Source organism: Homo sapiens, chromosome 9 (assembly GCF_000001405.40).
Source record: "Homo sapiens chromosome 9, GRCh38.p14 Primary Assembly".
In the NCBI taxonomy this organism is placed as follows: domain Eukaryota; kingdom Metazoa; phylum Chordata; class Mammalia; order Primates; family Hominidae; genus Homo; species Homo sapiens.
The window spans coordinates 109,398,844-109,412,188 of record NC_000009.12 but is presented as its reverse complement, the minus strand read 5'-3'; the positions used below and the strand labels follow the sequence as shown (position 1 = coordinate 109,412,188).

The 13,345-nt window shown below is 45.6% G+C and overlaps 1 protein-coding gene across 18 annotated transcripts in view, besides 2 other annotated features; it reads left to right on the top strand.

Annotated features, from left to right (window-relative positions):
• The window catches only part of PTPN3 (protein tyrosine phosphatase non-receptor type 3), a 162,727-nt gene that overhangs the window by 126,232 nt on the left and 23,150 nt on the right, over positions 1 to 13,345 (top strand). For all 18 annotated transcript variants that reach the window (NR_026918.1, XM_011518888.3, NM_001145368.2 and 15 more), the window contains 5 exons: positions 1,774 to 1,960; positions 2,113 to 2,190; positions 3,812 to 3,868; positions 5,571 to 5,727; positions 7,581 to 7,741. Coding sequence is in view for 17 of the 18 variants with exons in the window: in XM_011518888.3 (XP_011517190.1) it covers positions 1,774 to 1,960; positions 2,113 to 2,190; positions 3,812 to 3,868; positions 5,571 to 5,727; positions 7,581 to 7,741 (640 nt within the window). In the remaining variant the exon portion in view is untranslated. The remainder of the gene's footprint in view (positions 1 to 1,773; positions 1,961 to 2,112; positions 2,191 to 3,811; positions 3,869 to 5,570; positions 5,728 to 7,580; positions 7,742 to 13,345) is intronic.
• Positions 235 to 334: an enhancer, noted in NCBI's record as "active region_28760". NCBI's record gives its function as "activates an Ori minimal core promoter by ATAC-STARR-seq in GM12878 lymphoblastoid cells {active_cell/tissue: GM12878}" and the evidence as "EXISTENCE:reporter gene assay evidence [ECO:0000049][PMID:35858748]".
• Positions 855 to 974: an enhancer, noted in NCBI's record as "active region_28759". NCBI's record gives its function as "activates an Ori minimal core promoter by ATAC-STARR-seq in GM12878 lymphoblastoid cells {active_cell/tissue: GM12878}" and the evidence as "EXISTENCE:reporter gene assay evidence [ECO:0000049][PMID:35858748]".

Sequence of the window (13,345 nt, the reverse complement as noted above, 5' to 3'; positions counted from 1 at the left end):
AGAGAGAGGGAGACAGAGGTAGAGACAGAGACAGAGACAGACAGAACGAGAACTGGAAATACCATTTTAACTTGTTTTGTAACTGCCAAGCAGTTGCCCTTTCTGCCACTGGGTGATGCTCTTGTAAACAGTGAAACCCAGCAAAGATGCCGTATTTGGGGGGAATTTTGTAAAGCTTCCTTTTACGTAAGTGAAAGTCATGCTTTTTCAATCTGAAAACTTGTATACAACTTCAATTCCAAAATACTCTGTCTCTGAAATGCCTTCCCATCCATAACACCCTACCCCCAACCAGCCACTTGGACACCATAAGGCCAGACTCTTGTCCTACTGTATCGCTGTGTTTCTCCATTGGTCTGTCACTGAATATTTTATTCAAATAGATTGTGATTATGAATCATTCTGTGTGACTATGATACAGATTTTATATTTAAATTAGGCTCATTTAAACTCACTAGGAGAAAGAGAAGCACCAATTTCATAAAAAATCCATGGATAAGGGCTTGAAATGAAGGTCAAGAAAGAGGCAGTAGCAGCTGTCTTTTGTCTGGGTTTCACTGAATGACTTGGTCTCTGCGCTTCTCCCCTCACTTCACTTTGGATGAGGTTAGGGTGGGGCAGAGTCTTAGAATGTAGGAGAGCCCCATAGTCATCAGCTCTGTAAGGTGTCTGTGCTGGGCCTGTGGCTCCGGAAGGGGCTGGTGTGGGTGATGCAGAGACTCAAGGGTCCTGTCCTGTACAGTGACAGCAGGGATGGTTAATCCCTGTGACTCTGAGGGGTTAGAAATAGGGGTCTTGGAAGTGGGCTCTGCATGGTCTGGAGAGGGAAGAAAGGCTTAGGACGCACATCGGTCAGGTTTCTGTCTGCTAAGCCGGGGGAAAGCCATGTGACCCTGGGCAAGTTACTCAGCCTCTCCTGACCTCAGCTTCTTCATCTGTGAACTGGGAGTTAGAACAAATGACCACAAAGTTCTGTTCCGTTTTCATCATCTGTAACTCTCTAAGACAGCGCTGTCCAGCAGGACTTCCTGCCGTGGTGAAATGTTCTCTGACTGCACTGTCTCATACGGGAGCCACTGGCCGCATATGGCTAGTGAGCATGTGAAGTATGGCTGGTTTCTTGTCTTAATTTATTTAAATTTAAGTAGCCACATATAACTAGTGGCTACCATACTAGACAGTGCAGCTCCACGATACAGAAGAAACTATATTCGATAGAGGAAAATGTAACAAGATCTCAGCGTGGCAGTTCATGGATGTCACAGGCAAATCATGCCAACTAGGAATAATATAAATTCTCCTGAACGCACAACAACAACAGTCCTGTTTCCTTTGAGGAGGCAAGAGTCCTATGAAGCAGAACCATCCGCAGAAGTGAGACAGAAGGAAAAAAGCTTTCAGAAGGGATGGGCTGTGCATCTGCATGAGCTTGCCTGGCAGAGCCTGGTTCAGTAATGAAACCACCAGAGGAGCTGGACACATTTCCCTGTCACCCTTCTAAAGCAGCGGGGAAGGGAGCAAAGTTTTCAGCAGTTTCCAGATCCACCCTGCCTCCTATCCCTTTTCCCCAAAACCATGTGACAGTGTCTAGGCCAGATGCGGTCAGGGGTGGTCAGTGGGCCCTGGGTGTACTCAAATCCCGCTGACAACCTATGCAGCTGAGGTTCCAGGGAAACATACAGCCCCCAGCTGCCAGGCCCCTACAGTCAGTAGTGTTTGCTCTAATAAAATATTAACCCAGTTATTAATATCTCCTCCTTCCCCATGATGAAGGAGTTTATCCGAGAACAATCCGGCACAAAGCTACCTGACCCAGAAGTCATCCAGTTCTGTGTCTCCATCTTCAAATGCTCCAGGCTCCTGCTCACCTGACGGCGTTGATCAGCAGCTCTTAGATGACTTCCACAGGGTGACCAAAGGGGGCTCCACCGAGGACGCCAGCCAGTACTACTGTGACAAGGTGAGCGAGCGCAGGCAGCCGGGTGATCCACACACCCAGGGCTTCCCGGCCTCTTGTGGGCAGCTGAGTAGCTCTAACTAAATGAAAATATCTTATCACCAACTGCTGGAGAGAGATGTGATGCAAATGACCACTTTCAAACCGTTTTCCAGAATGATAATGGTGACAGCTACTTAGTCTTGATCCGTATCACACCAGATGAAGATGGAAAATTTGGATTTAATCTTAAGGTATGTTGTGTATTTATAAAGGAAGTTTTGTGCTGGGAAGCAATCTTTCAATGAGTTTTTAATTTGCATTACAAATGTGCTGCATTCCTGAGCTACATAAGGAAGTTGGTTCAACCCTCAGAATTGAGAGTTGGGGGTTTTTTTTGTTTTTGTTTGGTTTGAGATATTTGGGGTTTTTTTTGTTTTTTTTTAAAAACTCACTTTATCGCCCAAACCTAGAGTGCAGTGGCACGATCGCAGCTCACTGCAGCGCTGACCTCCCCAGGCTCAGGTGATCCTCCCACCTCAGCTGGGACTATAGGGATGCACCACCATACCCAGCTAATTTTTTTCATATTTTTTGTAGAGATGGGGTTTCACCATGTTGTCCAAGCTGGTCTCAAACACCTGGCAATCTACTCACTTTGGCCTCCCAAAGTGCCGGGATTACAGGCGTGAACCACCGCACCCAGCCTAGAATTGAGAGGTTTTTTTTAATGTGGCCTTAACAGCTGCCGAAGGCCAAGTGCCTGCTCTGTGCCTGGCATTGGCTATCCACTAGATTCATAGCACCTTCTTAAGTTCTGATAACAAGTGGTAAGGTCAGTATTTTTAAACCCATTTTGCAAATGAATACTGAGGTTCCCAGAAATGAGGGCACACAGTTGGCAAACAGATCTACCCACTTCAGGAATGCTATTAAGAGAACCCCTCAGCATTGCTAAAGCTGATAAGAGAAAAACAATTCAAGTTCAACCTGCAGGGCCACCACTCTCCTCCAGGCACCTTTAAGCAGGATCTGCAAACTAAACCCACAGGCCAAATCCCATCTGTTTCTGTAACTAGTTTTTTTGGTAACAGCCACAGCCATTTGTTTACTGGTGGGTTAATGACTGCAGAGTTGAGCAGTTGAATCAGAGCCCTCACTCCCACAAAGCCTCTCTGGCCCTTTACAGAAAACGTTTACTCATCCCTACTCTAGGACAAAGTGAGGGCAGGTGGTCGCCTACCCCCCAGCTGCCATCATGCACAGCCTCATCTGCCCCAGCAGCTGTGTTGAGGACCAGCGCTCACAGGCCAGATGCGCTCACAGGGTGTGCCCCCTTCCCAGGCCTCGCTCGCCTCTGCTGAAAGCCCCTATATATATATATATAAAGCCCATATATATATATATTAAAGCCCATATATATATATAAAGCCCATATATATATATATATATATATTTTTTTTTTTTTTTTAATTATTATAAGTTCTAGGGTACATGTGCACAACGTGCAGGTTTGTTCTAGCAGCACTCGAAGACATGCTGTGGAGTCCCTCTCTGGGGGCATCTGCGTTTTTAAGGAGGAGCTTCTCTCTGAGTGTATCTGTTAGTTCATGGACTGTGGGGATGGCAGAGGGAGGCTTCTGAACAGAGTCCTGGTCAGCCCGCTGGATCCAGAGGGGTCAGGAATTTGTTCCATATTTCTGAAATGACGTGTGATTCGAATCAGTCATAGTGAAGTTTGAAGCCTCCCTGTACCAAAGACTCACATTTATTGGTACCTCCATGTTGTTGATGCTGTGAGCTACTCGTTTTTTTGTTTGTTTGTTTGTTTAACTTAAAAAACTTTGTTTTGTTTTTATTTTAAAATGTTTACAGGGAGGAGTGGATCAAAAGATGCCTCTTGTGGTATCAAGGATAAACCCAGAGTCACCTGTAAGTAAATACATTCCATGTTATTCCTCGTGTTTGTTTGTTTCCCCCTAATTCTAACAGGTTTCTGTTTCTGAGTCCTGTTTCTTTTTTTGCCAGAGCAAAGAATGTGCTTAGATATACATCACCATGTTTTCTATAACCTTGCGGCTCAGTGTGGTCTTTGAAGCCATAGCACCCATGTTACCTGGGACCTCATTAGAAATGCAGCATCTCTGGCCTCAGCTTAGGCCTGCTGAACCGGAATCTGCATTTTTAACAAGAGCCTTGAGTGGTTAGTGTGCATTCAATTTTGAGAAGTCCTTTTCAAGAGAAGGAAACTTAGGCAGTCTGCTGTTCTGCTCACTCTAAGTGGGCACGTGGGCCCTGTGCCTCTTCTCACCATCTTTCCACCAGTGCCCCTTTTGTCATCTGTGTAGGCCTCCTAAGAAGAGCATTTGCTTTGTTTTTCTTTCAAATTTATTTTATTGTTTTTAGGCCAGGCATAGTGGCTCACACCTGTAATCCCAGCACTTTGGGAGGCCGAGGAGGGTGAATCACTTGAGGCCAGGAGTTTGAGACCAACCTGCCTGGCCAACAGGGTGAAACCCATCTCTACAAAAAATACAAAAATTATCTGGGTGTGGTGGCACACAGGTGTGATCCCAGCTACTCAGGAGGCTGAGGCAGGAGAATTCCTTGAACCCAGGAGGCAGAGGTTGCAGTGAGCTGAGATCACGCCGCTGTACTCCAGCCTGAGCGACAGAGTGAGACTCTGTCTCAAAAATAAAATAAATTTATTTTATTGTTTTTAAAATAATATCAAGTAATTTTTTCGTTTAATTTTTTTATTGTGCATACTCAAGGTGTACAACATGATGTCTTGTTATACATATAGTACTGCAGTCAAACAAATTAACATGTTCATCACTTTCCATAGTTAACCTATTTTTCTTTTTTAAGAGACAGGGTCTCGCTCTTGCTCTGTCACCCAGGCTGGAATGCAGTGGTATGATCACTGCAGCCTCAAACTAGGCTCAAGCGATCCTCCTGCCTCTGCCTCCCAAGTCGCTGAGACCACAGGTGTGTCCCACCTCACCTGGCTCCATAGTTACCTTTTAATCATCTGCTTTTTTAAAGCAGTAGGAGTCACTGTGCCTCCTTACAGTGAACCACGTTGGGATTTTACTCTGAGGTAGTCCTTAAGCTCTTGTCATTTAACTTTTGTTACTGTTTACAGTTTCTGTAAATTCAGAAGGCTTTCTTTCCTGTGCTGTTCAATTCATTGCTTCTCTCCATAATGGTTTTTGCCTCTGTTGTGAAGCTTACAAAAGCTTTCACCTTTGCAAGACAGATAAATACTCACCTCTAGCTGGCAAATCATTTCCTAACAGTACATCTAGGAAACAAAAGGCTGGAAATGGTATAGTTATATTATAATAAGTGAAGGTTGACTACCACGGAGAAATGGCTTCAGCAATTTTTATATCCTTATTCTGAAATGTTTCATAACTTATATTCTGAGCAGTACTTCTTTATATCTTACAACCATCTACCATGTCCACATAGCAGTGGATGCATTATACAAATAATGACAGTACTACCCGAGGGAGAGAAGGCAAACTTGATCATGGTCCCAGGTGTCTGGGAGCAGAGCGAGTCAGCGTTCTTCCCCCAAGGACTGTGTTATGGTAACAGGAGAAACTCGCTTTTCCCCACCACCCAGGCGGACACCTGCATTCCTAAGCTGAACGAAGGGGATCAAATCGTGTTAATCAATGGCCGGGACATCTCAGAACACACGCATGACCAAGTGGTGATGTTCATCAAAGCCAGCCGGGAGTCCCACTCACGGGAGCTGGCCCTGGTGATCAGGAGGAGAGGTAATGGCCACCTGGGGGGAGGAGCCATAGGGAAGCTGTCCTAGCCAAGCTGCGCCTGCTCCAGCCCTTTATCTGCTCTTGAAAATGTTGAGTTTGTAGCCAACATTTGAAAATCAAGAATCTTCAGGTAATAACCGAATGTTTGGCTTCTCACTTGAAAAATGTGAAGATCTGCCCCCAGGAGGCCTGTCCCCATGTGGCCAGTCTTCTGGGGGGAGACAGCGCCCCTGCAGCCCCTTTATACAGGACATGAGCCCCCAGCTCCCAGTTCCTCCCAGGCCCAGCGCAGCCCACATCACGCACTCTCTAAGTGGCATGACTCTGCAGACATTTGCATTTTCAGCCCCTTCTTAAAGGATCTGGTGATATTTTATTCGTGCGTGTTTGATTTTGTCGGGGAGGCAGTGAGGAGAGCAGGGTCTGACTGTCTCGGGTGATTCCTCACTCTGCCTCTGCGGGCTGGGGGACCTTGCAGGGGTTACATAACCAGTCTGTGGTTCAGCTGGCTCAGGTGTGGAGGAGGACAGCAGTGGTCCCGACTTCACAGGGTTGCTGTGAAGATTAAATGGCACTTGGGGCCAGGCACAGTGGCTCACACCTGTAATCCCAGCACTTTGGAAGGCCAAGGTGGGTGTATCACTTGAGGTCAGGAGTTCAAGACCAGCTTGACCAACATGGTAAAACCTCATCTCTGCTAAAAATACAATAGCCAGGCATGGTGCCATGTGGGTATAGTCCCAGCTACTCAGGAGGCTGAGGCAGGAGAATCGCTTGAACCCAGGAAGTGGATGTTGCAGTGAGCTAAGACTGTGCCACTACACTCCAGCCTGGGTGACAGAGTGAGACTCCATCTCAATCATTCAATCAATCAATGGCACTTAGACTGGAAAGTACCTGCATTGCTGCCTGATGGGAGCAGAGGTTTGAAGGACAGCCTCTACTGAGCATCACACTGTTGTCTTTATAGTTGTTGTTATAAAATAATACGTCAAGTTCCTTGAACACCGTGCACAGCTGTAAAATACTGAAAGTAAATGAAGGTTGTGTCTGCAAAGCCCTGCGTCTCTGCCTGCCTCACACGTTTGGCTGACACTCCATACTGCTGTGCTCCTGCCTCGGCTCTGCTCCCACTGCAACTCTCAGTCCAGAGCCACCAGGACCAGCTCTGACCCCACCTCCTCCGTGAGGCCTTACCAGATCTCTCCGGTTCCCCACCTGTGCAAGGTTGGGAGTTGTGGGGGGGTGGTCCTAGCTTTGCTTTCACCTGTATTGAATTTAACATGAAGGGAAAACGTGCACTAAAGAGGTAAGGCTGAAGCACAGAAGAGATGCTAGGACTACGATATTTACGTGGGAGCCTCCCACATAGAAACGGCCCTGAGTTAGGGATTGAGCTCTCAGGAATGATGGTGTCACAGGAAAAGCTTGGGACCTCACCCTCATGCCTGAGGAAATGCCCATTTTAGGGAAGTAAATGAAAAAACCTGAGAAAGAAAGGGGAGTCGGGATGGGTAGAAGAATAACCCGGTCAGAAAGAGCAAGCAGAAACAATATGCTTTTTTAAATAACATTCTTTCTCTTTTCTTTACCTTTGACAAAAGCCTCTGAGTGTTAAACACCATTATTTAAAACTAACCAGGAAGATTAGTATGTCATTTTATGTAATTAACACATATTGAATCATTCACCTAGAAGTAGTATCTTTGGTGAAAATGATTACCATGTAGCTTAATCATTTAATAAGATGTTTTGAACCATCTGCATTCAGGTGTCATAGGTGTGATTTGTTTGAGGGAGACGGATAAACCTGAGTATTGCTACACAAGTCAGATGCACTGTCTTGTACGTTACAGCTGTCCGCTCATTTGCTGACTTCAAGTCTGAAGATGAACTGAACCAGCTTTTCCCCGAAGCCATTTTCCCCATGTGTCCGGAGGGTGGGGACACTTTGGAGGGATCCATGGCACAGCTAAAGAAGGGCCTCGAAAGCGGGACGGTGCTGATCCAGTTTGAGGTAAGACCCTCTGGAGGCTGAATCCCACTGCCATGTCGCCTATTGGGCTGCCCCTGCCTCTGAGCAGTGGAGGAAATGAGGCAGAGACACAAGCCCTTGTTTCCTTGGTCGAGATGATTGTGTGTTTCACAAACCAAAAGCAGTCAACTGAGTCTCTGAGGACTGACAGGGCGAGGCCTGTGCTTGTCGTGGATAACAGGGCACAGCAGGCAGCCCCCTTCTCAGGCTCGGAGCAGCAAGCAGGGATCAGGGTGGCCACCCTCGCTGAACTCTGTCTCACCCTCTTATTCTAGTAACATTTGGTAGTCATGGAGAAACATGCCAGAAACTGAGGAGGAGGGACTCTGAGTGTATTTAACTGCCAACACAAAAGCTCAAAACTCCCAGCAGTGGAAGGCAGTGGAGAGGTGGCTGTGGGTGAAGGAACCAGCTCTCTGACCACCCCCAGCCATGTGCTGGAATTTGGAGCAATTAGTGTTATCCCATGAGGGCATAGTGTCTCGCCCTCCCAAGTTGCCCAGAACCCTATAAACACAAGTAAGAAACCAAACTCAAACCCCCATCTTCCCCAGGGGAACCTGTGATTCATAGGATTCAGGCTGTTGACAAAGGTACACACAGACATTTTTTATAAAACAAAAGGGAACCAAAGGAAACTCAGCTTTTAAGCCAGTTTTACTGATCACTAACAGAATTAAAATAGAATGTGTTCATCTTCCAAATTTATTTTCTTATTTTTATTTTTTAAATATGTTGTTGTCGTTGTTTAAAATAGAGACAGGGTCTCACTGTGTTGCCCAGGCCAGTCATGAACTCCTGGTCCCACGCCGTCCTCCCGCCTCGGTCTTCCAAAACGCTGAAATTACAGGTGTGAGCCACCACACCCAGCCCATCTCCCAAATTTATTTAAAAGTAGAAGAAAACAGAGTAATTCCTGTAATAAAAGAAATAACACCAAAAAGCATAAAATAGGTCAACAAAAGAAAATAGATCATCATTAGAAATAACAACAGTCTGGGTTCATAAATTCAGGAAGAGAGTCACATGGGACTCAAGAACAGAAATCAACAATGCATTATTTATTAGAAAACCACATAAAGGAAAAAGAAGCAAAACTCGGACATTTGTGAAATGTGTGTGACTGCAGAGTAATTGAGGAAGGCATGAGTAATAGGAATGTTTAAAATGAAGGAATGCAAAGCAGAGAGCTTTGAGTGAAAGATTGATTTTATGATGCATGTGAAAACACATTAAAGCAATGTGCATTGAACAGCAGTAGAAAGCAAAAATCCACAAGCCAAAAAGTAAAGGTGACTGACTTCCCCGCCAAAACAATCAACAGGGAATTAATTAATTAATATATTTATTTATTTAGAGACAGGGCGTCTGTCACCCAGGTTGGAGTGCAGTGGTGCCATCTTGGCTCACTTCAGCCTCTACCTCTCAAGCTCAAGTGATCCTCCCACCTCAGCCTCCTGAGTAGCTGGGACTACAGGCATGCACCACCACTCCTGGCTAATTTGTTTTTTATTATTCTTTTGTAGAGATGCAGTTTTGCCATGTTGCCCAGGCTGGTCTCAAACTCCTGGGCTGAAGCAAGCCACCTGCCTCAGCCCCCCAAAGTGCTAGGATTACAGGCATGAGCCACTGCACCCAGCCATTTAAAATTTTTAATTAATCATCTTGACACAATATAAAACAAAAATTATGTACTTATGCAAATGAAGTCTGGATAAAAGGGTAGTAACTATAATTACTTGAATAGAACTAATAGATATATTACTGAGTATTCTACAAAGGGAAATAGCCCTTTTTTTCAGTGGCCTACAGGAGGCTGTTCACACTTTTGGTTAAAAAGAAGAAAATGTAGGCTGGGTGCAGTGGCTCACACCTATAATCCCAGCACTTAAGGAGGCTGAGGCGAGTGGATCACCTGAGGTCAGGAGTTCAAGACCAGCCTGGCCAACATGGTGAAACCCTGTCTCTATTAAAAATACAAAAATCAGCCAGGCGGGGTGGCAGGCACCTGTAATCCTAGCTACTTGGGAGGCTGAGGCAGGGGAATCACTTGAACCCAGGAGGCGGAGGTTGCGGTGAGACAAGATCAGCCTAGGTGACAGAGCAAGACTCCATCTCACAAAAAATAAAAATAAAAAAAAAAGGAAATGTAGAGGTTATCTTCTCTGGCCTTGCCTTTCAAAAAAGTTCACATTTTGAGCAGTAAAACTCATTCATATTTTCACACACTCCAAAATCGAAACAAGGAAGAACTTAAGAGCCAGTCACAGTGCATACCGGTTTTTTGGTATTAGAGAGGACAGGAAAGGCAGTGAGAAGTCGTTTGTTTGTTGATTTAGCGAGTGTGTCTTGGGTATTTCCCCTGGATCAGGAACCTGATGAGGGAAGGAGAGGGGAGTTTCTGGCCCCAAGGAGTTTACAGTCTAATTTTAGTGTATTTTAGGAGGTACATCATGTGTCCCAGAAACAGCTGAAGACCAAGACAGGGTAAGATGTTATTATACAGAATATATGTTCTGCAGCAACTGGAGGTGAGGGGACTCCAGGAGATCCCTGGAGTGAGATGTGTGGGATTAATAAAGGGGTGATTAGGATTAAGTGTGTGGGGGGAGCATATTCCAGGAAAATCTCAGCCCAAATGCAGACAAAGCTCATGGGGTATCACGTAGCATAAAGAGACAGGCCTACCTGGGTGGACAGCGCAGTGCAGATCCTGGGCAATGCCTCTAGGTGACCACCGTCCTTCAGCCCTGCGAGAACTGGTTCCAGTTTATCAGATAGTCCACAAGGAGGCGCTGTGGGCTCTCACTGAGGAAAAGCCAAAGGCTGGTGTTTTCGGTGTTCATGAAACCTCCTTCACGCAGGTGGCTCCAATTTGAGGTGTGTTTTACATATGGGAATCCCACAGGTGATTTCCCTTGAAAAGTGTTCAACTTTTTAAAAAGTTTTCAAAGACATTAGAGATAAATACCCACCCTGTCCCCTACCTGTGTTTCTCAGAGGGTGACCCTCCGACCACTTGTATGGAGATCACCTGGGGAGTTTATTAAATCAAGGCCCCGCCCACAGCTACTGGATTGGCAGCACCAGGATGGGACCTAGATACTGATACTTTTAACAAGATCAGCACCTGTTTTGATGCACACGCTGTTCCAGAGGAGAGGAGGTGAAGACCCAACCGGAACCACTGCTGTGCATCCGAGGCTTTGTCTTTGGAGGGTATGGTGGGATGATAGCATAAGAAAAGGAGAACGTATACATTTTAGGGTTGCGTTTTAGCATGTACACGTTTCCTTCATTTTTGTCTATACAGTTCCTCAAGTAGGATATTTAAGTAGGAAACCCTTCTTTTTAATAAAATCATTTGCAGAATTCCAAAATACAGAACAGATGAAAGCAGGTCTGCTCTGTGACCTGTGATGGAACCAGTAGGGTCCTCAAAGCCCAGCCTCTTCAGTCTTCCTTCACTGGCCCCCAGGGAGCCCTAGGCTAAACAGACCATCATGTGAAAACCACTGTTACAGGTGCGAGAATGGTGTTTTACAGAGCAGCCAGAGGAGAGGCATAGAAAAGGAAACCAGATAAAATGAGAAACTAGTAGGAAAGGAAAGCTTTCATGAGCACTTACTATGTGCCACAGGCTTTAAAGGATATCACCTTAGGTAATTCTCACAAGAGCCCTATATAGATGCTGTCATTATCCCAGTTGTAGGCATGAGGGAACACAGTCTTGGACAGGTTAAGTGACCTCTTCCAGGTCTCACAGTAAATGTCAAAGGCTGATTGGAACCCAGGCTGGCCAACTCAAGGGGTGGTTCTTAGCCACTCTGAAATAACCTTTGAAAACTACAAAATGCTGTTGATGTATGAGAGTTGTTATTAGAATAATAGAACATCTGAGCTAGAAAATATCTGAGAGGCTGTCTCCCTACACGGAGCCAGACAGATTTTAAATCCTGGCTCTACCCTCACTTCCTGTGTGGCCTTAGGCACGTCCCCTAACCTCTGTGGCCTCTGTTTGCCCATATATAAATTGGGTATCTTGTGAGTTCATTTAAGAGTTAGATGAGATAAATACTTAATGTGTTGTCTGGTATGTGGTCAAAGTGCCATAAAAAGTAATAGCTGTTATTATTTATAAATAAAGGGAGGCTCCAAGAGTCTGTAGAACATGCCCAATGTCTGCCTAAGAGGTGGTCACAGGCCGGACATGAGGGCTCATGCCTCTAATCCCAGTACTTTGGGAGGCCAAAACAGGGGGATCACTTGAGGCCAGGAGTTTGAGACCAACCTGGGCAACATAACAAGACCTCATCTCTACTAAACATAAAAAAATTAGCCAGCCATGGTGGCACACACCTGTGGTCCCAGCTACTCGGGAGATTGAGGTGAGAGGATCACTTGAGCCTGGGAAGTTGAGGCTGCAGTGAGCCGTGTTGGCTCCAATGCATTCCAGCCAGGATAACAGCTAAAAAAAAAAAAAAAAAAAGGTAACTGTGTTGTGCTGGGTTTGGAGCTCTGGGTCGTCTAGTCCTGGTGTTCCAGTTCTCTACCTTCTCCAGTGTGGTTGGCAGGTGGGCGTCCTGGCTGATGGGGGTGTACACTGGACAGGAGTAGGAAGAGGAAGGGGCTATTCCCCAGCAGGGCCCACTGCAGGTGTCCACACCACCCACTCCATGGCACGAAAGACCTGCCCTGGGGTAGCCTTAATTCCCTTCTGCGAGAGCTGGTTTCTATCAGTGCTTGCTTTGGAGCATTTTTTTTTTTTTCATAAAGGGAATTCCCTTTATGAAAAAAAAGTCCCTCCTGTGGCTTTCAGTAAACAATCACAAGTGTGTTCCAGAAAGCATTTGGTCCCAGCTGTCATAAAATCACACTTAATAATTAGCATTTCTAGAGCACTTTGGAACCTAGCAAGTGTGGTGCACATATGTTGTCTCTGTTAACTCTCACAACAGTACTGTGAAATCGATATGGCCAGCATGATGAGGATCACCCTTTTACAGATGGAGAAAACGAAAATCAGAGAGGCTGAGGGACTTGCCCAGTGGCACACAACTAGTCAGAGATAGAGCCACAATTAGAATATATGTTAAATATCTAGGCTAGGCATAGTTGCTCATGCTTGTAATACCAACACTTTGGGAGGCTGAGGCGGGACGATTGCTCTAGCCTCGGAGGTTGAGGCTTCAGTGAGCCATGGTCATACCACCGTACTCCAGCCTGGGCTGCAACAGAGCAAGACCTTGTCTCAAAAAAATAAATAAAATTTTAACTTATTGTCGGCAACTCGCCATTGCTGAGTGTACCCAGCCCTCACTCTATCCTCCAACATTAGCCATTCCCTTTGGTAGCCACACTGTATGACCTACATCAATGGGAGCAGTTTGGTGGTATTTTTGATTGGCCCCAAACTGCCTAAATACTCTTTGTGTAGCCAAGGTAGGGTGTTCCTCTTTCTCTTATGTAAAGGAGCAGAATTGGGGTTCACACTGACCCCAAAATTACCACTTCCAGGAAGCTCTTGTTTTTGTTTGTTCCTAAGAAAAACTTGGAGATTAATCTACATGTTCCCTGAGTTGAAGT